The sequence below is a fragment of the Homo sapiens genome, chromosome 6, assembly GCF_000001405.40.
Source record: "Homo sapiens chromosome 6, GRCh38.p14 Primary Assembly".
In the NCBI taxonomy this organism is placed as follows: Eukaryota; Metazoa; Chordata; class Mammalia; order Primates; family Hominidae; genus Homo; species Homo sapiens.
Genome location: NC_000006.12, coordinates 6,707,401 through 6,734,906, shown reverse-complemented (window position 1 = coordinate 6,734,906; position 27,506 = coordinate 6,707,401). Strand labels below are relative to the sequence as shown.

At 46.5% G+C, this 27,506-nt stretch overlaps 2 long non-coding RNA genes across 3 annotated transcripts in view, besides 5 other annotated features; one reads left to right on the top strand and one right to left on the bottom strand.

Moving 5' to 3' along the window:
• Positions 1–27,506, top strand: part of LOC101928004 (uncharacterized) — a 106,380-nt gene that overhangs the window by 66,265 nt on the left and 12,609 nt on the right. The window contains exons 3-4 of the long non-coding RNA NR_187687.1: positions 23,049–23,210; positions 23,926–24,035. This is a non-coding gene — a long non-coding RNA (uncharacterized LOC101928004). The remainder of the gene's footprint in view (positions 1–23,048; positions 23,211–23,925; positions 24,036–27,506) is intronic.
• On the bottom strand, positions 1,516–25,530 carry LOC101928047 (uncharacterized). 2 transcript variants are annotated; one of them, XR_001743949.2, is made up of 6 exons: positions 25,310–25,530; positions 23,840–23,921; positions 21,033–21,196; positions 16,979–17,097; positions 9,607–10,126; positions 1,516–5,911 (listed from the first exon to the last, which is right to left on the bottom strand). It is a non-coding gene; the product is annotated as an uncharacterized LOC101928047 (long non-coding RNA). The 2 variants fall into 2 exon arrangements; XR_002956321.2 differs by lacking the exons at positions 9,607–10,126; positions 21,033–21,196; positions 25,310–25,530 and having other exon boundaries at positions 23,840–24,016.
• Positions 9,431–10,124: an enhancer, noted in NCBI's record as "OCT4-NANOG-H3K27ac-H3K4me1 hESC enhancer chr6:6725016-6725709 (GRCh37/hg19 assembly coordinates)". NCBI's record gives its function as "activates a minimal SCP1, AML or CMV promoter by ChIP-STARR-seq in primed H9 embryonic stem cells {active_cell/tissue: H9 hESC(primed)}" and the evidence as "EXISTENCE:reporter gene assay evidence [ECO:0000049][PMID:30033119]".
• Positions 10,055–10,114: an enhancer, noted in NCBI's record as "active region_23928". NCBI's record gives its function as "activates an Ori minimal core promoter by ATAC-STARR-seq in GM12878 lymphoblastoid cells {active_cell/tissue: GM12878}" and the evidence as "EXISTENCE:reporter gene assay evidence [ECO:0000049][PMID:35858748]".
• Positions 21,837–21,986: an enhancer, noted in NCBI's record as "active region_23927". NCBI's record gives its function as "activates an Ori minimal core promoter by ATAC-STARR-seq in GM12878 lymphoblastoid cells {active_cell/tissue: GM12878}" and the evidence as "EXISTENCE:reporter gene assay evidence [ECO:0000049][PMID:35858748]".
• Positions 22,154–22,943: an enhancer, noted in NCBI's record as "H3K4me1 hESC enhancer chr6:6712197-6712986 (GRCh37/hg19 assembly coordinates)". NCBI's record gives its function as "activates a minimal SCP1, AML or CMV promoter by ChIP-STARR-seq in naive H9 embryonic stem cells {active_cell/tissue: H9 hESC(naive)}" and the evidence as "EXISTENCE:reporter gene assay evidence [ECO:0000049][PMID:30033119]".
• Positions 22,754–22,813: an enhancer, noted in NCBI's record as "active region_23926". NCBI's record gives its function as "activates an Ori minimal core promoter by ATAC-STARR-seq in GM12878 lymphoblastoid cells {active_cell/tissue: GM12878}" and the evidence as "EXISTENCE:reporter gene assay evidence [ECO:0000049][PMID:35858748]".

The following is a 27,506-nucleotide window of genomic DNA, read 5'->3' as shown; positions in this document are numbered from 1 at the left end:
CAGCGGGCGTGGAGCACAAGAAGCAAAGAGAAGCAGGTTGGAGCTCTGTCTGGGGGAGAACGGCCAGGTCAAGGCAGAGGCTGAAACGAGCTTAGAAAGCAGATTGAGAGGGAAAGACTGGGTGAGGGTGGGGTGGTGGTGGAGAACCAGGCCAGAGGGTCATGGAAGCCAGGGGAGAAGAAATTTCCAGGAGGAAGAGTGATGAGTCAGTGCCCCGCAGAGGTTATTAAGACACAATAGAAGTGTCCATTAGACTTGGAAATTCAGCAGTAACCAGTGTGATAAGAGCTGGTTAATGGACATGTGGTGGGTCCCAACACCAGCCTACAGGAGGTTAGTAAGTAGGACAGTGAAAGTACTTTTAGAAAATTTGGCAAAGAGGGGCAGAAGTTAGAGGGAATGCCAAAGCTGCTGGAGGAATCTGATCGCTAGTTTCTGTGTGTAAGGTTTTCTGCTGTTTTGCTCGGAGGCAGGGGTTTATAATGGTATTTACTTCACGAAGGCTCAAGTCTCCAGCGGTGTGTCTGGAGGGGGTTATATATGCCAGAAAGGGGTTGGAGTAACAAACCAAGAGATCTGCCCACTTTTTAACCACCCACTCTTCTGCTCGACAGCTGCACCTGTGCCTTTGCAATTCAAACCTAGGGACTCGCCACCCTCAGTGCCCAGTCAAAACCCGCTAAAGCCCTGGCAAGGAAGCCGTTTGGTGCAATTCCTGCTATCCCTGGGAGAGTATTTTTGTTGTCTTCATTATGGTTTTGCTTTTCCCTGGAGAGAATTGTGATGGGTACGACGAAGGGCACACCTGGAGAGAGGGTGAAGAGAACAGGGAGGGGATGCTAGCGCAGAGAGGAGAATGAGGTCTGCACAGCAGTGTCAGGCCAGTGAAGGCAGGAGCGAGCAGGAGGCAGGGCAGGGGTGAGTTGCAGAGCTCAGGGCATTCATGACTGGCCAGCTCACCTTTCCCTGTTTAGTAGGGGGCAAGGCTTCCTATTGTGCAGGATGACGAGGGAGCCATGAGGCTCCAGGAAAAAATCTGAGGCTGAACTGTTGTGGGGGCTGAGAGGGAGCTGAATGGGGCTGGGAGAGGACTGTCTCATCACCATGGCCCGATCAAGGCTAAGGATGCAGACTTGGTGTCCCTGGCGCAAGTGGTCCAGAGTTTCTTCCATCAGTGCCATCAAGATGGGGGAAGGAAGAAAGTACGTGGGAATTAGGGGAGAGGTCAAGACTGTAAGGCAGGTGAGATTATGGGCTGATGGGTCAGAGGATCTGGGGGTCATGAGCAAGTCATCCTTTCTCTAGCCCCTCCCACCCCAGCCTCTTTATTGAAAAGCTGGTTTATTTCACTCCTGTGTTTTGATACAGAGAGAGGCCGGTGGGAGCATTTTTCCTTCTGGTAATCCATGCGCTGAAACAAGACCTGGCAGTGAGGAAGGGCCAGGAAAGGAGGCAGGTGGGACTGGTTGGCAGTGGGAGGCAGAAGAACTATGCTGATAGACCAGACCTAGCGTGTGATTTTTCTTATTAGGCTTTGTTTTTAGAGCAGTTTTAGGCTCACAGCATAACTGAACAGAAAGTACAGAGTTCCCATATGCCTGCCCCCACCCCTAAACGGTTGCTTCCATCAACATCCTGTACCGGCGTGGTCCATTTGTAACAGCTGATGAACTGACATTAACACATCATTTTCACCCAAAGTTCACAGTTTGTATTAGCGTTTACTCTTGGTGTTGTACATTCTATGGGTTTAGACAAATGTATTATGCCATGAATCCATCACTGTAATATACAGTTTCATTGCCCTAAAAATCCTCTGTTCTCCACCTAGTCATCCTTCCCTCCCCTCTAACTCCTGGCAACCACTGATCATCTTCCTGTCTCCATAGTTGTCTTTTCCAGCATGTCACATAGTTGGACTCATACAGCATGTGTAGCCTTTTCAGATTGGCTTTGTTTACTTAGCAATATGCATTTAAGTTTCTTCCATGTCTTCATGGCTTCCATATTGCGTTTTTTAGTACTGGATAATATTCCACTGTCTTGATGCACGATGGTTTATCCATTCACCTATTGAAGGACATTGTTTCTAGCAATTTTATTCATTGGTTGCTACAACATGGAAGCAGTGAAGGGTATGTGCAGGGTTTTGTGTGGACATGTTTTTAACTCATTTGAGTAAATACCAAGGAGTACAAATTCTGGAGTATATTGCAAAAGTAGTTGCTTTGTAAGAAACTGCCAAACTGTCTTCCAAACTACTATTTGGCATTCACACAGCAATGAATGGGAGTTCCTGATGCTCCACATCCTTGCCAACATTTGGTGTTGACGGTATTCTAGATTTGGCCATTCTAATAAGTGTGTAGCAGTATCTCGTTTTAATTCGCAATTCTCTAATGATATATGATGTGGAGCATCTTTTCATATGCTTATTTGCCAGCTGTATGTCTTTTGTGAGGTATCTGTTCAGATCTTTTGCCCATTTTTAATTAAGTTGTTTCCTTATTGAGTTTTAAGACTTTTTATATATTTTGAATAACAGTCCTTTATCAGATTTATCTCTTGCAAATATTTTCTCCAATCTGTGGCTTTTCTTATTTTCATGACAGTGCCTTTCACAGAGCAGAAGTTTTTAATTTTAATAAAGTCCAATTTATCAATTCTTTAATCATTTCTTTGGTGTTGTCTAAAAAGTCATTCCCAAACCCAGGGGTCATCTAGATGCTTTCCTATGTGACCTGCTAGGAGTCTTAGTTTTAGGTTTAACATTTGCATCTATGATCCATTTTAAATTAATTTTTGTGAAGGATATAGTCTGTGACTAGATTCTTTTGCATGTGGATGTCCAGTTGTTTCAGCACCATTTACTGAAAAGACTATCCTTTCCCCTTTGTCAAAGATCAGTTGATTATATTTGGGTGAGGTCTGTCTGGGTTTTCTATTTTTTCAATGAACAAATATGGTCATTGACCTATTTTGCCAGTGCAAGACTGTCTTGATCATAGTTTTTTGATTTATCAATTACAGGTAATATCAATTGGCTTCCTCAGAGTTAATGAAAAGTTGGCTCCCTTATGCTCTTATCTTTCCTCATCCCTCTTTATATAGCTGCATAGTTTTTTGTTTAAGTCTGTCATTCAGGCTGGAGTACAGTGGCATGATCTCAGCTCACTGCAGCTGCCTCCTTCCGGGATCAAGCAATTCTCCTGCCTCAGCCTCCCAAGTGGCTGAGATTACAGGCACCCACCACCATGCCCAGCTAATTTTTGTATTTTTAGTAGAGACAGGGTTTCACCATCTTGGCTAGTCTCAAACTCCTGACCTCAGGTGATCCGCCCACCTCCCAAAGTGCTGGGATTCCAGGCATGAGCCACTGGGCTTGGCCTATAGTTGCTTTTAATTACATCAATAATCACTTTATAACACCAAAACTATGTCGATATTGTTAATAGCAAATCTGCGTGGTGCATTAGGATTACATTTTTTCTTTAGATTTTGTTTCCCTTGAAGTTATCTCTTTGCCACACTTATTAACTTACATGCTACTTTTATATGCATATGTGTAATAGTTTAAAAACATGTCAAAAATTCAATATTCTTATAAAATGCAGAGCCCTATTTCCCTTGCCTTATAAGTGGGCTGTACTTAGTGAATTGCTTCTAACAAATAGAACATGGCAGAAATAATGACATGTGACTTCTGAGACTAGGTCATAAAAGGCATTACAGCCCCCCCCCACGAACTTTCTCATGGATTGCTTTGGGGAAAACCAGCTGCCATGTTAGGCCACTTGAGCAGCCCTCTGAACAGGTCCATGTGGCAGGCAGCTGAGGCCTGTTGCCCACAGCCAGCAAGGAACTGAGGCCTTCTGCCAACTGCAACATGAGTCAGCCATGGTGGAGGCTGATTCTACGGTTCTGGTCATGCTCTCAGCTGACTGGAGCCCCAGCTGACATCTTGACAACCTCAGAAGAGATCCTGAGCTGAAACTACCCAGCTAAGCTGCTCCCAGATGCCTCATGCTCAGAAAATAGAAGATAATAAATGCTTATTTTAAGTCTGAAAGTCTCAGGGTAATTCGTTATACAGTACAGCATATTTGATTTCTTTCTGATGATCACTTTGCCACTAGATCTGCCATATTTCTACTCTGTTAAGTCTATGTAATTTTTCCCTGGATGTCTTCCCCTTCTACTCTTGTGTGGACTGCACAGTGTAGCTGTCAGCTCTTCCACCCTGCTGACTGGACTCACTGGTTCCTAGGTCCCTTCTCTTCCCTTATTTTCATTTATATTCCTTTCTTTTCCTGAAACCCATCAACTATTAGCTCCTAGAAGGCATATGGAAGGTAAATTTTCGTCCTTGCATGTCTAAGGATAATTCTATCTACTTTTGTTCTTGATCAATGGTATGGTTGATTGCAGAATTCAAGGTAGAAAAGTGTTTTCTTTTAAAACTTTGAAGGCATTCTTTTTTTCTAGCATCCAATGTTGTGCTTGAAGTTCAATACCATTTACATTCTAGTTATTGTGTATATGACTTAGTTGTCCCCCTCATTGGAAGTTCTGGGCTCATTGATTTGTCCCTTGTGGAATTTTATGCTGTGCCTTGGCATATGTTTGCCGAAATAAAACCCAACTAAAAGTGGTTCATACTGCAAGTTGATTTTTTTTATCTTGCATAATAAGTCTAGAAATAAGGTGGCTCTGGGGTTGATTAACATTGTGGCTGACTTACATCATCAGGGACTCAAGTTTTCAAAAATCTGTTCTGCCAGAGTACCTTGGGTATTTCCCTTCATGGGCAGAAAATGGCAGCAGTGTATGTTCCAGATACAGAGGGTTGGGATTAGCTCTTCTGACTTGTGGAAACTGTGAAATATTTCCTACAATTAATCCCAGTCTTGAGTGAGTTTCTCTTGTGCTCCCATGTCCAAAATTAAGGGATCAGCTCTTAAACTTATCACCAGATAAAGGGAATACAATTAATAGAGTTTAGATTAATTAATCTTTACTCCATGGAACTGGGGTTAGGGTTGGTCTTTCCTGATAACATGACTTTGCGGTAGAATATGGGGATTTTAAACAATCTGAATCCTATTACAAAGAATAAGGCAAGAGCTATGGGAGGACCATCAAAATTGGCTGTTATAGGGGGTGTGTCACTCATTGTGATATACTTGTTGAGGTTGCCTATCTGCTGATGTCCCTCTTGTTTGCTGTTTGTCCTTGTGGATTTCTGCCATTTTGTTCCTTTATTATCATTTTAATGAGATCTGTGAAGGGAGAGGTGATAAATGTGTGTGTTCAATGTGTCACCCCTATTTGAAGCCCCTTAGCCTGTGCTTTTCAAACTGAGTTGTAATCTATTAGCAAGCTAGGCTCAGGATTTTAAAACAATGAAATAACATACAATACGATCTGGTATTTTCTGTATTGCAGAGAGTGAAGTGAAATATTGTTTCAGAAGATGTTTCAGTTGAGTATGAGTGGCTGCGTACTGAGTAGAGATGTAAAATGTGTTTCTCGCCATAAGCTGCATTGAAAAACTTCTGGGAAGCATTGCTTCAAATAAATCTCTTCTAAGCATTTTGTGCTCTACCATGTTATCTTACTGTGGCTGGTTTTACAGATATCTGAGGTTAGGAGAACACAGCTAGCATATTAAGCTCCATGCTTGCGTAAGGCAGCAGACAGGTAAGACTAAGAGGCACTGCGCATGGATACTGGCTAACACCTGCTCTCCGTAGTCAGGGCTGGTCCACAGAATGTGCAGAATTCTGCTTTCAGGAGTCTCCTATCCATTCAGCAAATGTCTGTCGAAAGGTTGCATTCCCCAAATGTTGGAGCTTCAGATGAGTTGTTCTCATGCTAGGCTTCTGCTGAGTTACGGCTCATAAACCTGGAGCTTCAAAACACAATGGGATCATGGTTGGTTTTCACAAAGTATTTTAAATCCATCTTGCCCTTTCCAGGCAGATGTATTCCGCAAAGCCTGATATGTACATTTCCTGTGTCTAAAGATTCTCAAGACATGAAAACATCCTACCGTGAAACCAATATTCTTAGAATCAAAATGCATCTTGGGAAGCTCTTTCCTCTGAGGCTGCTTTCAGCTGCTCCAGTAACCAGCATGAAACCCCACAACTCAACAATCCCCGTGGCCACAGGGTGGCCTGGAGAACTTCTCGGTCTGGTGGCCTTTTAGTCTCTTCTTGCCCTTAGGGTTTTGCCTCATTCAATGCCCCTGACTATTTCCATCTTGCCATCTTTGTTACATTGGTTTGTTGTCCATTTTGAAAATTCTTTGTTAATTTCTACCTACTTCCTCCAACATTTACTCCTTCCTCTCTTTCTAACTTACCCAATTACTGTCCTAACTGGTTTTTTCCTTCCTTACCATCCTTATTTTGCTGACTTTTTTTTTTGCCCTTCTATTCTCTGCTTCAACATCCCCCATGCAACCCCAGACCCCGTCCCTCTCGCTGTTTCCAAGCACTGTTGACATCCCCCTTGCCCCCTGCTGTGAAGGCCTAGGCTAGGCAGAACATGCCTCACAGACAGTGCACAGCGGGGAAGGCAGCCTGTGGGAGGTGGCGACTCTGAGGCTCTGAATATCAGAGCTGGGCCCTCACAAGGAAGGGCTCCTCTGCTATGTCTTGTCCAAAACTTTCATCATGTTACCCGTAGGAAGTCATAAAGGTCCCTCTTTACCAAATTTGCTGGTTACTGAATGTTGAGAGACTAACATTTAGTGGGACAGAATCAAGATCCAAAACATCTTGGAAGGCATGGAAATAGGCTGATTCTAACAGGAAAATATGCCACTGTCTTCACCTGGAGTGGGGGGGGGGGTGGCAAATGAATCGCACAGGAGCAGGATAACGGAGCTGTAGCTGAGGAGTGAAAAAGACTTAAAAGGGTTTTAGTCAAAAGTAGGGTAAAAGAAGCCACCAGCAGATGTGGACCCCACAAAGCTCATTTGAGGTTAGACTTGAGAGAAATACAATGGAGTGAGCAGCTGGTCACACACCACACTCAAAAAGGAAATGGCCAGCCATCCACATTTGTCAAGAGCAACCAGGGACAGGTCGAAAGAATTAAGCATGGGGCTGGGCGCAGTGGCTCATGCCTGTAATCCTAACACTTTGGGGAGGCCAAGGCAGGCGGATCACCTGAGGTCAGGAGTTTGAGACCATCCTGGCCAACATGGCGAAACCCCATCTCTACTAAAAATACGAAAATTAGCCAGGCATGGTGGTGTGTACCTGTAATCCCAGCTACTTGGGAAGCTAAGGCACAAGAATCACTTGAACCCAGGAGGCAGAGGTTGCAGTAAGCCCAGATCGTGTCACTGCACTCCAGCCTGGGCAACAGAGCAAGACTCCATCTCAAAACAAAACAAAAAAAAGGCTGGGTGTAGTTGGCTCATGCCTGTAATCCCAGCACTTTGGGAGGCCGAGGTTGGACAGCTCATGAGATCAGGAGATCAAGACAATCCTGGCTGACATGTTGAAACCCCGTCTCTACTAAAAATACAAAAAACTAGCCAGGCATGGTGGCACACACCTGTAGTCCCAGCTACTCAGGAGGCTGAGGCACAAGAATCACCTGAATCTGGGAGGCAGAGGTTGCGGTGAGCCGAGATCACACCACTGCGCTCCAGCCTGGGCAACAGAGCAAGATTCCATCTCAAAAAAAAAAAAAGTGCAGGGAAAAAAGGATGTGATAACAGTATTCAGATAATGAGGAAGAGAAATCAGACATTAGGCTGCAAGGCAGAGGACTAAGTTCACTGGAGTTAGGCTTCATTTTCAACAGAGACGCACTTCACAGTAGCCGAAGTTGTCCAATGATGGATGGGCTGCTTCATGAGGAAGTATGTCTCACTTTGAAAAAGTTTGAATATTTGGTGCAATGTTTCCAAAGAGATTCAAACGTTGGATATGTTCTTAAACAAGACGGCAATCATAACCATTTATGGTTGATACTAATGCTAAAACAATAGGAATAACATTAATTGGGCACTTACTATTGATATGTGGTGCTCAGTGTTTTCTGTACATTATCTTATTTAAACCTTTACCGTAACACTGGGGTAGTTACATTACTACCATCTTAGGGGTGAAGAGTGAAGCCTTTTTGGTGAGTGCAAGTAAAAATCTGACAGGTCGAGAGACCTGATAATTGCATTATGGACATTGGAGGGATAGAGTAGAATGGCATGGTTTTTTTCCATTATGGCTGCAAACAAGGGCAGGTGCTTTCTGCACTTTGTATAGGAATGGCACAGCTGCAAGGCAGACAAGAGGGCCCCCAAAGGAATCTAACAGAGCTGTCAACTAGGTGGAATTAGTCTACCAGAAAAGATATTGTATAAATATTCATGCAATATAATTTTTGTCCAGCTTATTAGTTCTTTGGGATAATTTACTAGGAAAATTTCATGAAAACTACCTGTCAGTTTGACTTTGGAATTACTGTACCCATGATTTTTTCTGATGCCTATAGGATTAGAGAGGACTGACTCAGTCCCTCATGATTCCCTGGATCAACAGCCAGTATTACTTCTTACTATTTGACAATTTCAACAGAAAGATTGAGTTGTTTTATATCTTATCCAGCTTTTAAATGGTTGTCAGTGGGAAATGTAGTCCAAATACCTAGCCTAATGCTATTGGAAACTGGAAGCACTATCAGTGAAGTTCCCCATTCAGTTATAGGCGCACTCTATGCTAGACTGAGTGATATTTCTATGGTTAGTACGCCCCCGGGGTTAGAGGCTCCCTGGTCTTTGTCAACTGAAACCGCTGAATTGAACAAGGAAGGAGAAAGAGGAGTTCCAGAGGCAGATCAGATGCTGATGACCAAGAGTACGGAACTTGGCCACTCACGGGGCCTGCCAAGGTCCTAGCACGTAGTGTGCAGAGGGCAGGATCTGAAAATGAAGTGTTTGTGAATGGTGTGCAACAAACAGTAACCACTTCCTAAAGAATAGTCAGGCACAGTGACAGATTGGACAACAGCGAGAAGGGACTGGCTAAGGACTGGCCGCCTGGGTTCCGAGGCCAGAGTGGGGGAAAGGAAATGCAATGAGAAGGGGGATGGGGAGAAGGCAGTGAGAACCCCACCACCCCAGCTCTGGGCTTGTGAGCAGGTGGTGAGACCTCAGGGCTGGGGTTTGGTCACCTGTCACCCCTCACCTCTGCTAGACGCTTCAATCTGCCCAGGCCCTTTGGGGGCAAAGGTCTTCCAATGAGATGGTATCATGAATTCAGGCCTGTCCCGAGGAGCTTGCACGGAGAAATGAATAGTAAGATTACACAAGCCTCCTCCCTCCCTGCCTCTGGTGACCCAGATGGAGGGGGAGGCCCACCGTGCTGCCCCAGGCTTTTTCCAGCACGAAGGAGTTCTTCCTTGGGGTGGAACCCCTTGGTGAATTAGGAAGAGATGTGCGGTGGGAAGAAGAGAATGGTGCAGTGGGAGGAGGGGCAGAGGCCAATCCTGAACGCCCCAGGGGCCCTTTGCAATGCAGAGCGGTCCTGGCAGGGGACGCCCAAGTGGCGCTCGAGTTGGTCCCAGGGAGGGATGCCACGTTCTTACCTCTAGCAAGGCCTGGGTACGAGCTGGGGTTGTGACACGTGTGTGTTCAGAGCCAAGCGGCTGGTCCCTGAATTGGGTCACCTCAGACGGGCAACGGTTGATCTATCCCGATTGCTGAGATGAGATTTCGTCCTTCCTTGTAAAACCCAGCTGTGCCCCCCGGCTTCTGCCAGCACCAAGGCACTCCTTTGTCCTAGCGTTCCAGGAGGCTGAAGAGCTGAGTAACCCAAAGGGCATGGCGCCCAAGCCGCCTCAGCGCGCTGTCTGCGAATGGGCTCTAGGCGCTGGGTCGGGCTGCTGGGCCCGGCTGCTGGGCCCCAGGGGCTCTAAGGGGACAGGATGTGTTGGGACCTTCACTTATCTTCCTAGCACGTGCGGGGGCTGCAGCCCAACTTCCCCAAGAGCGGTGTCTCCCTGGCACAGCTTTGGAGTTGGAGGGATCGCCCCCTCCCCTGCCTGTCTTTCTAACTTGTTTTTCTGCTGACGCTGGAGCCACGGTACTTTTGCTTTTTGAAACACCCTGTAATTGGAAGAAGAAAAAAAAAAGACGAGTCTGCTCAGTGTTATGAGACAGGCACGTGCTGCCCTCTAATGGCTCCTGCCTTGTGGGTTTCCAGGCTCCCCGGGGAAGGGGCGCCCCAGGCCTGCCTTCCTGGAGGGTCTGCGGAGGGTTTCCTTCCTCCGGGTAAGCGGGCCCCTTTCCCTGCAGCCTGCTCAAGCGTCGGGGAAAGATGTCCGAAGACAGGTAGCTTTGTGTGGCTGGCTGTGAGAGGAGAACGGTCCTACATTCCACTCCAGACCAGGAGCGTTTCTTGGAGCCATGTACCCTACCAGCTTAGGAAGGAGTTGCTCATCCTCCCTCGCAGTCCCTCTGTGTCTACAAAGGAAAGCACAGCGCATGGCAAAGGCCGGTCAGCAGGCTCGTGCACGCAAACAGGCTTCCTTTTCCTGTCCTGCTGGCCAGAGGGGATGCGGGGGATGGGGTAAAATGCTGCTGATACCCCCCTCAGACTTTCCACTGGCAGCCTCCGGAACCTACTCAAAAGCCGAACACAAACCTCTTGAAAAAAAACATCAGAGTTAATGTTTGCAGAAACTGAAGACATTGGTTGGACATAGTCCAGTTCTGTTTAGAGGGGAAACTAGGATTTAATCAAGGAACAAAGTTCATAGGTGTGGGAGGAAAACCTGGGAAACGTTCTGTTTTGGTAGCTGGAAAGCTTGTCTCCAGAAGTGAAGGAAAGAAGCTGAAAGAGGAACTTGTATTTTCCTCCAGCGAGCTCAGATCCTGGCAAAGGGAGAGCGTGATGCTGGTGCGAGCTCTGTGGCTCGGTGGGAAACAGTGCAAAAGTTAGTGTTCCCAAGTTTAGAACGTTTTATGTAGTAAGGGTTCTTGGAAAAGTGCAAACAAAGCAGAGTGGTCCTTCTTGAGCTTTTCCTAAGTTGGGAGTTACTGGTCACAGAGCTTAATGAGGCAGTTCCTGTGGGAGCGGCTGCTCGGGGTGGCAGACCACTGCTAAATTCTGCCCCCGGAAGGGTGATGGAGGCAGAAAGTGGAGAAGGCTGGGTTGAAATCTGACTGAATGAGCCTCATTTTCACAGGAGGGTTAGACAAGAAGTCCCTTTCCTGGCTGGCCACTTCTTGTAGAAATGGAGAAGCATTTTTATTTTTTACCTTATTTAGATCTTCAGTTACAAAAGGCTGTCATTAGGAAATGAGTCTTTCCCCATCCCTTCCCTGCTCAACTGTAGAGGATGAAAGTTTTTTTTTTTCCTTCTCTCTTTTCTGATAATCCTGAGCAAATTCTGAAGAAACACAATTTTTTTTTTTAAAGTGTTCTCTCTTTCAACAGAACTGGCCTGAACTTTTGGCCTAGTCTCTCTCCATAAGCCTGATGGTGCTCATCCAGCCCCAGATCGTGTGAGCAGCTCTCTAAGGCTATAGGAGCCCCGGGCATGTCCTCTTCAGGCCCTGTGGGAACCCTGGCTCCCACATTGTAAGGGATTGTCAGGAAAAAGGGTCAAGCTGGCTGTTAGTGCTGGCTTCAAGGGGACAGAGCTGGGTCTGAAATATGTGTATTTTCTATCTTGAGTTTTGTTTTATGAGCACCCCTGCAACCCACAGCTTACAGATGCCACAAGGTGCCTTTGGGAGATGTTTTTCCAGTCTTGTTCAGCAGGGAGCCCCTTTCCCCTAACCAAGCATTTCACACAAAGCCAGTCCCAAGTCTGGAGACCTCAGTATTTCCCCAAAGCTGGATTCCTGCTGAGCTGCACACATCTGCTCCCTAGTTGGTTCTATTTGGGTAAAATCAAAAGTAAACAGAGGGCCCTGGGCTTATATGTGATGTTTAAAACAAAAGGATGTAACCAGAGGGCCTCTACTTTGAATCCCTGACATTCCATGATTCGCTGCTAATGTTCTTCTAGCAGTGGCTGGAGGAAGCCGGCAAGATCTGAATGCCGTGGGGTCCTGGGGAAAATGGTACCCAACAGTAGGACTTCAGCTCAGCAGAAAGTAGACGAGGCTCTGAATATACCCTACCCCGTGCAATAGGCAGCCCACCAAATTCAGGTAACCCTTGCATTGTGGCTTTGCCCCCCACCTCTTTTTTTTTTTTTTTTTTTTTTTTTTTTTTTGAGATCGGGTGTTGCTCTGTCACCCAGGCTGGAGTGCAGTGGCGTGATCACAGCTCAATATTGCCTGGACTGCCTGAGCTGAAGTGATTCTCCCACCTCAGCCTCCCGTGTAGCTGGGACCATAGGTGCATTGCCACACCCAGCTAATTTTCAAAAAATTATTTGTAGTGAAGTCTCATTTTGTTGCCCAAACTGGTCTCCAACTCCCGGGCTCAAGCAATCCTCCCACCCTGGCCTCTCAAAGTACTGAGATTACAAGCGTGAGCCACCACACCCGGCCAGCTTTGCCACTTTTATAGGCTCACAGGCAAGTTACTTCTCCAAGCCTGTTTCCTCCCTGGTAAAATGAAAATGTGAGCATTAGATTGTTTGGATGCAGGGCTTATTCTATTGGAAGAAGTCAGTATTAAGGCTTGAGCAGATGGGAATGACATGTAGAGCTGGTTTTGGTGAGTTCTGTGCCGCATTTGGACCATGGGCAGGTGCGGGAAGGGGATATAGGATCCAAGTAGAAAAGCTTTGCAAAGAAAGACAATGGTTCAGAGAGGACAGACCTGGGACTCCTTGTGGAGAAACTGGTTCAGATCACAACCTGAGTCTTAAGAGCAGCCTCTGGGCAGGAGTCAGAAAGCTGGAGAAACATAGGAGAAACCCAAGAGGCCAACTCTGCATGGGGAATATAGCAGAGAAGAGAATAGGACAGGACCTGCAGGGAGAAGTTTTGGCAGAGTGGAAAAGGGGAGCTGAGGGGGCCCCAAACTGGGAATCAGTCCAAAGACACCAGTCTGCCAGGCTGAGAGGGGAACTTGGAGCAACAGCTTGTTAAGCACTTGATTAATGAATAAGCTGCTGGCTGGTTCAGGTAAGGGTGCACCTGTGATTTACCTAATCCCTACAAAGCTCACACAGTGAGATCTCCACGCACTCAAGTTGTTTTGTACTCGAAGTGCTTGACTGAGCCTGGACTGTGCTGAGCAGCCTTGTGGGAGGGACTCCTAGGAGAAAGTTTCTTAAAAACAAAAATAGACTCTTGGGGTGGTGGTTCTTGCCCATTAACCAAAGTGGCAATAAAAAGTTGCTTTTAAACTTGGGAGCTCCAGAAGCTATTATGGGACAAAATATGAGCAGAAGTTAGTAGTGTAGTATATCACTCTAGAATTTAGATTCTTTCATCCTTATGACCTTTCTTGTATAGGTATTTTTTTGTTCCTATAAACTAAGACTTTTAATTAAACCACAACACTCATAGAGAAAACTGGCAAAATTCTAAATATTTGGTTGATAAAAGTTCAAAAACTCAAAAGGCTTACATAACCAGCACTCCCATTAAACTATAGAACACGACCAGCTCCCGGGTACACACCTTGACCACTTCTCCAGGACCAGCCCTCATCCTTTCCATAGCTTAGTTTGCCTGTATTTCCTCCCTTTGGTTAAAAGAAACTAATTGTGGTAAAATACAACATAAAATTTACTATCTTAACCATTTTTAAATATACAGTTCAGTGACATTTCAACATATTCATTGTTGTGCCACCATCAACACCATCTGCCTCCAGAATTCTTTATTTTGCAAAACTGAAACTCCATATACCTTAAACAACTCCCCATTTCCCCTGCTCCCAGCCTTTGGCAACCATTCTTCTACCTTCTGTCTCTATGGACAGTACTCCTCTATGTACTTCATGCAAGTGGAATCATAAAGCATTCATCCTTGTGTGTCTGGCTTGTTTCACTGAGCTTGATGTTCACAAGGTTCATCCATGCTGCAGCGTATATCAGAATCTCCTTCTTTTTTAAGGCTGAATGTATTTCATTGTGTGGATACAACACATTTTGTTTACTCATCTATCTGTTGTTGATGGACGCTTGAGTTGCCTCCATCCTTCAGCTATTGTACATAATGCCGTTTTGCACACGGATGTATAAAGATGTCTTTGAGGCCCTGCTTTAAATTCTTTTGGGAATGTACCCGGAAGTGGAATTGCTGGATTATATGACGATTCCATTTTTAATTGTTTGAAGAACTGCTATACTGGTTACTCACAGCTGGTCTTGTTGGTTTTTAACTTTATATTCATGGAATCATTGAGTGTGTACTCTTGTGTCTGGATTTTTGGTTCAACTTCGTGTCTGTGAAACTCAAACTTTGTCATTTGCAACAAGCATCCTAGTGTTCTAAGGAGTTATAATTACTTGATTTTTGTTTGTGTGTGTGCTTTATATTCCCATGTCTTATTAAGCCATGCTTTTTTTATAGGTAGATCCTTCCAGTTCTGTCATTAGCCGTGCAGCATGTGGTAAGCTTATTGAGTAGAGTAGAACATTTCTTTTTTAAAGTTCAACAGAAACCTTTGCTAAACGCATTTTCTAGACGTTACATCAGGTCCTGTGATTCTCGTCTCCTGTGGGGACATCAAGCCTCAGCTCTGTTTCTGGTGCTCTAATAAACTCCACATTCCATGTGACAATTCCTGCAGAGTCCTCCAATTGGGCCTACTAGTATGGCCAGGATGCTTTTTAATTTTAGGGCTCCTTTTATAATTTTATGATAGAGTACTTCGATCAGCCCTTTAGTTATCCTGGCTGAGAAGCACTCCATCTGTTAAGATCACCCTACATTTCACACCACCTCTAAACTGGCTTTTCCAATGAACTCCTCCATCCAAAACCATGCAGTGGAAATCAGTGCAGTTGGAATTACCTCTCTGCAGAACCTCTGAAGCTCCTGTGGGTTTCTCTGAATACTTTTTTTTTTTTTTTTTAACATTTTTGTAGATGTTGTGAAAAACATTTCTTGTAAATCAATATCTAGTTTAGTAATGTGTCAATATCACCTCTTTAACAAGGTCTTGTTGAAATGTTCCAGCAAGGTCCAGCTATGTTCCAGGGGGTCAGAGAAGTGTGCCCCTAACATGGTTGTGGGGAACAGAGCATTTCCTCTGAGGAAGGAGCTTCTAGGACTAGAAATGAAGGGCCTTGGGAATCTCCCTAAGCCATCAGCTTACAGTGGAGCGGAGCGGACAGAATTCTTTCTATGCTCTTTGGTGATTTCAGGATGGAGCATGGAATAGGAGCTGCTCATGATATGTTTAGGTGGAGTCAGGGGTCCTGGGTTTCAGTCCCTCCTCTGACTCTTAACAGAACGTAATCTTGAGCAGGTCATTTGACCTTGCAGAGCCCTGGTGTCTCCATTGGTGAAAAAAGCATCATTTACAGAGATCTTAAGTTGTCTCGTCTGTTGTGGTCTTTCATGCCTCCATTCCCAGAAAGCTGCCCAGCCTTCGAGCTCCTCATCTTGCTTAGGAGGTTTGTGATGTAGGACTTAAGCAGATTTTCCCTCATGGATTTTATTTTGAAAGCTTAAAGTCATACAGGAGATCACGCTAGCTCGTGCCTAAGGATGGGGGGGTGAGAGGACAAGGCCATTGAGGGCTGGTGCTTTTGGTTTGGTTTGGTTTGGTTTTCAAGGAGAGCTAGCTGCCCAGCAGAGACAAGACAGGTTGCTTTCCGTGGCTAGGGGAGAGTCGGGTTGGGAATTCAGGGGGGTCGCTAGGAACTCGAGTCCTGGATTGTCAGTCACAGCTCCCAGAGGTGGCCAAGCCTCGGAAAGGGGTGGTGCATCCTGTGAGCAGCACACAGATCTCTTTAAGGTACCAGGTGGGCCAAGACAATGATCTAGTAAGGATGACCAGGGAGGAAAACCAGAGAAGCCACCATGCATGTTCTCCTTTGCTCACAGTCATGGACCTTTGCCTTTGGAACAACTTTAGGAGCTGGGATGAGACAGGACAGTGGAGAAAGGGCTGAGGTTGAATTTCTGACCACTCTAGTGGCATCTGGGCTTAGAATTCATTTAATTCAATCAATATGAAGAAATGGGCCAGGCACAGGGGGCCAGTGGCCCACTGGCAATAATCCCAGCACTTTGGGAGGCCAAGGCGGGCAGATCGGGTGAGTTTAGGAGTTCGAGACCAGCCTGGCCAACGTGGTGAAACCCCGTCTCTATTAAAAATACAAAAATTAGCCAGGCATGGTGGCGGGTGCCTGTAATCCCAGCTACTGGGGAGGCTGAGGGAGGAGAATCGCTTGAACCTGGGAGGTGGAGGTTGCAGTGAGCTGAGATCATGCCATTGCACTGCAGCCAGGGCAACAAGAGCAAAACTTTCTCAAAGAAAAAAAAAGAAATGAATATTTCTTGTGATTGAGTTTCTGGAGCAAAATTTCTACTGGCCACATATAAAATGGAGACATCTTAGTTCACAGCTGCATGACAGTTGCAGGAATGAAGAAAGGGTGATGTGTGTGGAAAGATAGTAAATCATGAAGCACTCCACCAGTTCCCATGAGAAGCTGGCTCTCCTGGCTAGAGAAGTACAGGTCCCAGGCTCTCTTACTTATGGGTAGCTAGGAGTGGAAAGTTTCCACAGTGAGACTGGCTTCCCCGGGCCTCTGCATGGGGTTTTCCAGGGCCTATTGCATCCCTGGGCTTGCCAGAACAGGATGTTGACAGTTGGGGCTGCTTCCTCTGTGGGATGGAGTAGGGTGTAGCCTCTAAACGCTGATGCTGCAGGTTTTGCTTAGTTTACTATGGAAGAGAGAGTTTCAAACACTTGGGAAATGTTCTGATGGGATTCTGTGTCCACACTCTGTTACGCCTCAGCTATCTGCAGATAGTGCTGGAAAATGATTTCTTATTCCTGCAGTAGTAACTCACAGAATTGGGACTTACCTGAGTTGGGAGGACCTTAGCCTGAGTCTAGTCCCACGCTGGCCAGTAGAAATCTAATGTGGCCACAATGGGACCACATGTGTTATTTCAGTTGTTTTAAGTAGCCACATTATCAAAAGCTTAAAAAAAAAAAAAAAGAAATAAATTAATACATTTTAATCTACTTGATGTATGAAAAAATAGTATTATAACAAATGATATAAAACGAAATGTAATATATTAATATTCATGGTTACTTTACATTCTTTTGTTCTTTAATGTTTGAAATCCAGTGTACATTTATACTTAAAGCACATCTCAATTTGGACTAGTCACATGCTTAATGACTACATGTGGCTTCTGGATTACACAGCGTAGGTCTATACCAGGAGTCTCAACTGGGGGCTGGGTGCCCCATTTGGGGGACATGTAGCAATGTCTGTAGGCATTTTTGATTCTCATAACTGTAGGAGAGTAGAGGCCACAGATGTTGCTAAACATCCTACAATGCACAGGACAATCCCTGCAACAAAGAATCTTCTGTCCGAAGATATCAGTAGTTCTGAGTTTGAGAAATCCTGATCCTAGACCAAGCTGTGCCCCTACCCCTTGCCCTTTTGTATTTCCCCACAGTGATGGGAATGAGGCACAAGAGCCCAGGGTAGCAGGTCTGGTGTTGGCACTCAGGTGTCCTGAGTGGGGCCCCGGGGCACCTCTGCTCACCCACGTCTCCTCCAGGCTTGTGACTGTAGCAGGGGTTCTCAATCCTTCCTCTAGCACAGCTCAGCAGAGGGACATAAGTGACAGGACCCAAGCCACAAGCAAGAAACCACACCCCCCACAAAGTTCTTTAGCACAGAAGTTCCTTTTGTGTTACATGAAAATTTAGGGAAAATTCACCCACTTGTCGGAACCTGAAGACTGGCCCAAGAGACAAAGGAAACGCTGAACCCAGCAAGAATTCCAGAGCTGATACTCGGCCAGCTCTGAAGGAGGGCCTTCGAAGCATGGGGTTCAGAGGGGGAGCATCTTCTGATGAGACTGGGTTTCTTAACGCGACAACAAGAGGACCAGGAACAGTTTTCTTAATTTTAATTTTAATATTGTTTGAGAGGGAGTCTCACTCTATCTCCCAGGCTGGAGTGCAGTGGCGTGATCTCGGCTCACTGCAGCTTCCACCTCCTGGATTCAAGTGATTCTGCTGCCTCAGCCTCCCAAGTAGCTGGGATTACAGATGCCTGCTGCCACCATGCCCAGCTAATTTTTGTATTTAAGTAGAGATGGGGTTTCATCATGTTGGTCAGGCTGGTCTCAAACTCCTGACCTCAAGTGATCTGCCCTCCTTGGCCTCCCAAAGTGCTGGGATTACAGGCGTGAGCCACTGTACCCGGCAGGAACAGTTTTCTGAATGTCCATTTGAATGTTTATTCTCATCAGTCAATGAAAAGTACGTTGCAGTGACTAGAAGTCACAGCTTAGAATACAGTGACCAACTGTGTTTTCTTGGTCTCCCTAGGAGCCCTTTTCCTCTACGGTAGGTATGTAGATATGGAACTTGAAATTTTTGAAGAAACTTGCAGAATGAGTGAATGAATTTTACATAACAGATATAAACTAGTCTGTCTTCGTTTCAGTGTTAAATCACAAAGTTCTTTTTTAAAGTTATATATATATATATATATATATTTTTTTTTTTTTTTTTTGAGACGGAGTCTCGCTCTGTCGCCCAGGCTGGAGTGCAGTGGCGGGATCTCGGCTCACTGCAAGCTCCGCCTCCCGGGTTCACGCCATTCTCCTGCCTCAGCCTCCCAAGTAGCTGGGACTACAGGCGCCCGCCACTACGCCCGGCTAATTTTTTGTATTTTTAGTAGAGACGGGGTTTCACCGTTTTAGCCGGGATGGTCTCGATCTCCTGACCTCGTGATCCGCCCGCCTCGGCCTCCCAAAGTGCTGGGATTACAGGTGTGAGCCACCGTGCCCGGCCTAAAGTTATATTTTTAAAATTTTATTGATATGTAACAGTTGTACATATTTTGGAGGTATACATGGTATTTTGATGCCTCTATACAATATGCAATGGTCAATCAGGATAATTGGGATATCCATCATCTCAAACATTTCTTTCCTTTCTGTTGGGAACATTGCAATTCTTCTCTTCTAGCCACCTTGAAATATACAATAAATTGTATAAATCACCTCGTTATTTCACTGTTGCTCTTCCCCGACCCTTGGCCTGCCTCCTTTCTGTTCTCACCTCCAGCCCCCTTCTGCATTCCTGCATTTGTTTGTGAATGGCTTGACTCCAGGATGGAAGTGTACTGATAGCTCCCTGGAAGCCTTCCACCCCAGCCATGGGGCCTGGTCCTGGGGGGGTCCCTATAATAAATTTATTTTGTGTCTTGCGCCCCAGGGGAACTTTAGACCTCACTTCTGGAATCTGTGAGCTTTGGGATCTCCTGGAGCCTGTCCATTCACCACAGAGAGAGGGGTCCTTTGCACATTTCTGAAGGGATCAGGAAGCCTTCAGCCCATCCCAAACAGACTCCATACCCGTGGCATAAAGTGGTTATGCTTGCTGGTTGGCAAAGCATAGGCCACCGCATATTCACTCCGTTTGTGTTTTATCTGGGCCTGTTGCTCATTGTTGCCCACCTCATGCGTTTCACTGCTCATTCACTCCATAGAGGTTGAGTAAGCAGAATTCAAACTAGCTGCATTCATTTTGTCATCCGCTTGTGTTAAGGAGACAGAGTTGCAGCTGTTGGAGAATGAGGTTCAGGAGCAGCCCTGTGGCTCTAATGCGTGGCTCCTACCCTAGCCCTGTCTGTGTCATCATGGGCCGACTGCTGGAATCTTGGCCTGTAAAGATGAACAGATGTCAAAGGCCAAGTGACGCCTGGGAATTCCCAGTCCTCTGACCCATGGGTGCAGCCTGGCCTGCCTGCCTCCATGGTCCCTATTTTTTTTTTTTTTTTTTTTTTTTTAAAGACTATCAGCAAGAGACTGTTCTCTAAGTCCACTGGGTGTGCTGGGTGCTGTCTCACTGAGATCCAGAACAACAGTCCTGATTTTCAGAAGTGGAAATCCTTAAAGCTGAAAATGAGAGCCTTGTTCTGCAGAAGAGGAAGAGTACCTTCCGTGTCGCTTGGAGCTGGCCTAATCCACTTAATGCCTTTCAGCTTGGTCATATGGAGGGACTAGCCACAAAGTTAGGGCTACAGCCCCAGCCCCGGGTCCCAGGCAGCTGCCCAGTGTGCTCATGCAGTTAGAATGTTCAGAGAGTAGGACACTGGGCCAAGCACATGGACTATTCTGTCCACCGACCAGCACAGATTAAACCCTTTGTAGACTCCGAGAGCTGTGCTTCTCAGGGAATTAAAGGATAGCTTTTGAAAACTATTTTTCTTTCCTCTTTCTCTCATTTTATTTACTTGAAACAGTATACACAATGTCCTTTTTAAATGAGGTGAAGCCCAGAATCTAGGGATCTGTTTTAAAGTGCAGTGAGGTTTTCCAGATCACTCATGAGGACTCTGCTTAATCTTGCCAGTCTCCTGGCTCTCATTAGAACACAGGCCTGCCTGTAGAAGGGACCCCCAGCATCTCTGCAGCAGCTGGGGAGGGCCATGAAGTGAGATGGAGATGACGCTTCCCTGCTGCTGCGCAGCTGTTTGCTCACCACCTCCCCTTGCAGGCAGCTCCCCGCGGCTGGACTGGGGATGTGCCACTACACAACATGGCCTTGTGCTGCGGACGGATGCTAGGAGCCACCAGGCCTGTAATGCAAGTGCTACGATTAACAGGAGCAAGTGTTCACTTTGCATTCAGGCCCTGGGTTTTTTTTGTTTTGTTTTTGAGACGGCGTCAGGCTGGAGTGCAGTGGTGCGATCACGGCTCCCTGCAGCCCCGGCCTCCTGGACTCAAGTGACCCTCCCACCTTAGCCTCCTGAGTAACTGAGACTGCAGCCACGCACCACCATACTCAGCTAATTTTAATTTTACTTTTTAGTAGAGACGGGGTCTTGCTGTGTTGGCCAGGCTGGCAGGCCCCGGTTTTGCAGTTGTATTTGCTGACCTGGCACATCGCTTCTGCTGAATCGTAATGAAAACATTCTTGAACAGGGATGAGTCACAGATGCTTTCATGAAACCCATTTGAGAGCACTGTTGGCCCATGTCCTCCGTGGATGCAGCACTCTTCCCATGGGCGCACGATGGTCATTTACTCCTGGAAAAGGACCTGAGGAAGTAAATGTCTCATCTCACTTTTTCTGCCCCATCTCTGGCTCTACTGCTTTTGTTTTTATCTTGAGACAATACCACACTCTGCTGGAGTTCCTTGGGGAGTCATTTTTAGCGGGGGGGGGGGGGTGGGATATGAGGACACTGGCACGAGGAAAACCTGCTCTAACTGCATTAGTTTTTCTAGACTTTTTTCTATTGTGGATTAAGAAGTTGGAAATGCAGAAACTCTTGGGAAGACAGGCCATGTGCTTTCACGGTACACAAATGGATCTTAAAAACATCCACCCTCCAGCTCATCTGTTGGAGAACCGTGAAGACAAACAGCACTATAAAAAGCATCCTATGCAGCAACTCCGCTTGATGCTGCAGCTGCCAGCGACCCCTCTCTGGAAGGGCGGCTGCTGAGTGCTGGCATTTGCTGAGGTTACTGAGAGCCATTACTGTTCGCTTTTGCACGCCTCACAGCACCTCCCAAAAAGAAAGTACTCAGATGCTAACGTTTGGCCTCTCCTCCTTCCCTGGCCGTTTCCAGGCCTCTGCTGTGCGTGTTGTCTTACTTCCCTTTAGAACCGAGCTGGTGCTTGTTTGGGCAGCACAGGAAGTGTGGGGCACCCAGATGCCTAAGCACCAGACAGAGGTGGCTGGATGGAGGAGGTGTCCCCTCTGCCATCCTACCCTGCTGCCTTTGTCTCCCTGGTCTCTTTTCTGGGCACTTGGCGCATTCTGCAACAGACGTCCACACACAGGGCTAAGTTCAGGTCCTCAGGGCACTGCTTGGTAGGGTAGGTGCAGTAAGGCTGAGGTCCCTGGATACAGAAGCCTCCCCAAGGCTCTCCTCAGCTCCTGGCGGAGCCCATTCTCTGCTCTGTCCAGGGCTTGTCGAGGGCGTCTCCCGACTTCTTTGGGAAAGCAGTTTGTTTGCCTTTCTCTTTCAACACTCGCCCATTTATCACAAACCCACAAGAGTTCAGACAGCCACGTAGCTCCTGCCTGGTCAGGACACATGGGGAATGGAAGAATTATGACATCAGTGCCCCCAAGAGGTGGTGCAAGTTGAAAACATAATCGGACGCAAAAACAGGTCTAGATTGATTCATACGTGACTAATGCCTGAACATTTTCAGAGGGACCCAGGAATTCCTTCCATCCAAGCCTCTGCTGTGTGCAGAGGGAACAGTAAGGCAGCAGTAGGTCGTTCCTGGTGCTCAGGGAGCTCACAGTCCAGGAACGAGGCGAGCTGCCTGCCCATGCGTCTGGCAGGAGTGGTACCCTGCTGGTGGCTGGGCACCCAGAATGAAGCAGACCCTTTCATGCACCCTGCTCCCAGGCCTTTCTTAGCAGGGGCTGAACACAGAGTTGCACAAATCAGATTCCAGTCTTCAACAGTAATGTGTGTGCTCACCGAACAACTCCTGTGGGGCTGAGCCCACATGTATTAACAGGGTGAAGATTTGTGGGGGAAATCTTCCCTCCCTCACCTGTCTCTCACATTCTGTGCCTCCTGGAGACCATTCAGAATCTCTCTCAGCCCAGCCTCCTGCCGTGTGGCTCTTTCCCCCTCCCCTCTGTCAACCTCAAACCACATTTCCCCTGTATCCCTCAGCCCCGTAGACATCGTCTTCACTTCTTCCTTTTTTCAGTAGGTCTCGGTTCCCTTGCGAGTTCTTTCTCACCCCTCCCCCATCAGCTCGTGGAAGCTTGGAGTGTGGAGCACAGCAAACCAAGGGGCCTCCTTTGGGACCCTGTGACAGTGCAGGGCTGCACCTGAGCCCTGTGCCTCTGGACAACAGCCAAGGGCAATTGCCCACACTTGTATGTCAGATGTCTCCCACCCTTTTGTGTTCCAGGAAATGACTTACTGCAAAGAACCACTCTTCCCCACGAGACTTCGAGAAGACCCGCTGTCACGGACTGAGTTGTGTCCTCTTAAAATTCAGATGTTGGAGTCCAAACCCCCAGTAACTCAGAGTGTGAACGTATTTGAAGAGGTCTTTAAAGAGGTGATGAAGGTAAAATGAAGTCACTAGGGTGGGCCCTAATCCAACCTGACAGGTGTCCTCATAAGTAGAGGAGATGAGGACACAGACACATGGAGGAAAGACCATGTGGGGACACAGGGAGAAGATGGCTGAGGGGAGAGGCCAGAGGAGAAACCAGCCCTGTCCATGTGTTGACCTGGGACTTCCAGCCTCCAGCATGGTGAGACGATGCATCTCTGGTTAAGCCCCATCTGTGCAGTACTTTGTTATGGCAGCCCTACTAGCACACCAGTAGGTCCATTCATAAATGCCGTATACTCGTTCTTGTGATTTCCGTAACAGTCATGGGTGACTGCCTTGTTTCCTGTGATAAGGACACAGAGACCCTCCAAATTACCATTCTTTGTTTCTTAAATGATTAGCTGAACTATTTGTCCCTCCAAACAAGCTAGAAACAGCTAGATACTCCTTGTCCAGCTGATTGACAGATGCCTCCTGATGACATAAACATGCCAACTGTAAAATCACCCCCACCTGGAACTGGTTCACTCCTCCCTATAAAAGTCTAGACAAAACCAACTGCCAGGACACTCAGGTTTTGGGATCTGGGTGCTCTCCCGACTATAATATAATAACCTGAATAAAGTCAGTTTGCTTACCGGCTTAGGTCTTTGTCTCTGACAATTTGCCTCTGTGACGTGGATGGGACTGGAAGTCCATTTGGAGCCCTGTCTTCTCCACCTAGGGAGAGAGACCCCATGAGCTCGTCAAGCTCCTTCTGTGACTGATCAGAGATCCCACCGTGAGTCCAGCTCCTGGTCCCATGCTCTGGATATATCGGTCCCTGGCAGCGTGGTAAGGATTTGATTTTGATTATTTGCTTGAGTGCCCTTCTGGCTTTGTTTCGTAGTTGGCTTCTGTTTAACCTTGGTGCTATGCGAAATTCTCAATCCACTTCTCACCCTGCCCTTTAAAAATCCCTTCCGATGATACGTATTCCACTGTGATGAGAATTCAGTTCATTATCCCAAAAAATGGCAAGATTTCCCTGAGGACAACTTGGAACTGCAAGTTGATCCCTCTGAGGCACCTGGAATCTCCCTGTGTCCATCTACAGATCCCCCTCAAGATCTGTTCTCTTCAAAGGTCAGCTTATTTTGCTTGGTCCAAGGAGGCTGAAACATGAGAAAATGTCTCCAATCTACTTCAAACTGAGCAGTCCCTTAAGCACGTCTCTCACTACCAATCTCTCCTCCCACTCCTCCACCCTTAACAAAACCTCTCAACCCTTTCTCCCCCTGCCCCACCCCTCTATGGGCCCTGCTCTGATGCTTTCCCCCCTACCCAGTATTCCTCCTTAGTCTGAGGGACTTTTTTCCTCCTTTAGCCCCTGCTCCCCAATCTTCCCTGCTCCTACTTCCCTACCTCATCCTGATGTATTGGTGCTTCCCCATCATGATAGAAGGCCCATGACCCGAGGGCCGAATTGAATAAGGACTCACTCAGGTCCATATGCAGTTGTGAAGGGCTTTTCAGACAGACCAGGGAAGAGTTTACTAATCCATTTGGTTTTGTCCTTGGGGCGTATTCTCCTGGGTTCCCTGAACTTTATCAATTTTTGCAGCTGTTAATGGGTACCAGAGATGCCACCTTATGGTTTGAAAAGCCACACGGGCTACTCTTCATGAGGACTTCCAAGGAAATCAGAACACCCTGATACAGGCCAGAACTATAGGGGAGAGACTTTAGAATCCATTCCCACTGTGGCTCCTGGAAAACTGATTGGTCAAAGATAAAAGACGGCAGACAACACAGAGATGAATGTGCCTCTCAATATAGACATAGATTAGAAAATGTTAGGAAGGACATTTTCAGAGAGTCAGTTGCGAGAGTTGCTAAAGCTCTACAAAGTATATGATCTGATCTTATATTTGATGACTGAGCCACTTTTGCTTTTATTAATTATGTTAATGGCTTCTGATCAGAAATCAAAGATATTACCCCAAAGCCAATGTAAGTAGGCAGAACGCTTCTCTCTCTGAAAGTGTTACACTAGCCCAACACCCTGAAGAATCCATGAGAGAAAAGGCCAAATCAACACAGTGCAAACTGACGGCTGCACAACTTACCAGAAGGAAGCAAACCAGGCCAATCTGCTTACTCCAAACCCCCACTTGCTAGGCACACATGCAGATACAAATAAAAAGAATGCTGGCTTGGGATTGGCTGGCTTTAAAACAAAAGAGAGCAAGGGTTTAAAAATCCATCTTTTAACGACTTTCTTGGAGGGGTATGTTCCCCTTTGTGTCCACACTAACTCAGGAGAGAATCTTCCCCATCAATGGACACTCCCCTCCCTTCCTAATGGACCCCGAGCAACACATCTCACCATGAACACCTCTTGCCACACTCCCTAAGAGCACACAAGCCATGCCTGTTGGTGGGACTTGATAAGCATCCATGTGCTGCCTTTAACAGAACCTTCTGTCTTACTAGGACCCTCCCCACCCAGCACAGCTTCTTAGTTCCACTACCCAGTAAACCTTCTGGAAAGAGTTACTTTCCAACTGGACTGTCAGTAGTTTTGCTCCCCGAGGGCCTCACACTTGAGGTCCTTGGGTTCCCAGCCTTGCATCTTTGCCCTTTCATGGCTCTTATTGACCATCACACTTTTCTTGTTTCTGTCAAAATCCCTGATCCCCCTTTAAAACCTCAAGCACAAACTATGCTAACTAAAATACCCGACTGCCTTTGAGCTGGTCACTCAACTGACGCAGGCCAAATCAAGAAGGCCAAACCTCTCAACGTAGAAATAGAACCTTCCATGCTACTCTCAAGTATAATATCCTCAAGACAAGAATTCTCCAAGATCTTCAACTTATAATTCAAGGTGTCCTTCACAAAGCTCTTCTAGTCTCCATGTCTGGTTCCTGTGATACTCCCATCCTCTCAGTAAAGAGGCTCAATGGGATACCAACTAGTCCAAAGCTCACAAGCAATTATTCAAATAGACAATACCAGGCTTTCTCTAAGGACCCCAACACCATTCTGGCTTCTCTCCACCCAACACTATTCATCTCACAGTCATCAACTTATGTTCTGCTAAAAAAATTTTTTTTTTTTTTTGAGATGGAGTCTTGCTCTGTTGCCCAGGCTGGAGTGCAGTGGCATGATCTTGGCTCACTGCAACCTCCACCTCCCAGGTTCAAGCAACTTTCCTGCCTCAGCCTCCTGAGTAGCTGGGATTACAGGCACATACCACCACAGCAGGCTAGGTTGTTTTTTTTTTTTTTTTTTTTTTTTATTTTTAGTAGAGATGGGGTTTCACCTTGTTGGCTGGGCTGGTCTCAAACTCCTGACCTCAGGTGATCTACCCGCCTCAGCCTCCCAAAGTGCTTGGGATTACAGGCATAAGCCACCATGCCCGACCATGTTCTGCTTTTATCAGTATGCTTTCAACCCTGACTCAAATATCCTTTTGCCTTCACCTGGAAAGGTCAATAATACACATGGACTGCCATGCCTCGGGTTTACGGAAGCCCCCACCTATCTCCCCAGGACCCCTTTCAGGCTATTCTGGGCACTGGCTGTTGAGGAATGCCCTGGATTCAGTTTTCCAATTTATTTGTCTATAAAGCCCTAATGTGAACAATTTTTTGCTTGCTGAGTATTTTCAATGACAACCAAATAATCGAGTTTCCCGTAGATCAGTGACTCTTAACCGGGGCATCTTGCCCCTCAGGGGACAATTGGCAATGTCCAAAGAAGACATTTTTGATTGTCACAAGTGGAGGGGAGGAGATGCTACCAGTGCCTCGTGGGTGGAGGCCAGCGATGCTGCTACACATCTTGCAGTGCATAGGATGGTCCCCACATCAAAGAATGATCCCACCAAAAATGTCAGCAGTGTCAAGGCATAGAAACGCTGATCAAGACAATGACCCTTTCCAGTCTTATTTAATAAATAAAAAGAACTCAACCAGTTTTCTTTGGTGATGGAGGATGGTTCTTACAGCAGTGTCCTTCCTTTAAATTGTATGAGCTGTAGTGTAGAAATAGAAATGAAACAGTTATCTTTTTGTCTAGTTTTTGGACAAAAAATTGGTCCAGAACACACCATGAAGGATGATTCTGGGAAATCAGATATTGCAGATGAAAGAGAACTTGGCTGGGGACAAGCTCTGGGTTCTAGCTCTGGTTCTAATGCCAACTTGCTGGGTGTCTGGGACTGTCACTCTCATCTAGGGGTGGAACTAAAGCACCTTCAGACCTCTGCTGCCTCTAACAGTTTCTTCTAGAACAAGTCCATGCATGAGTCAGTTGAGA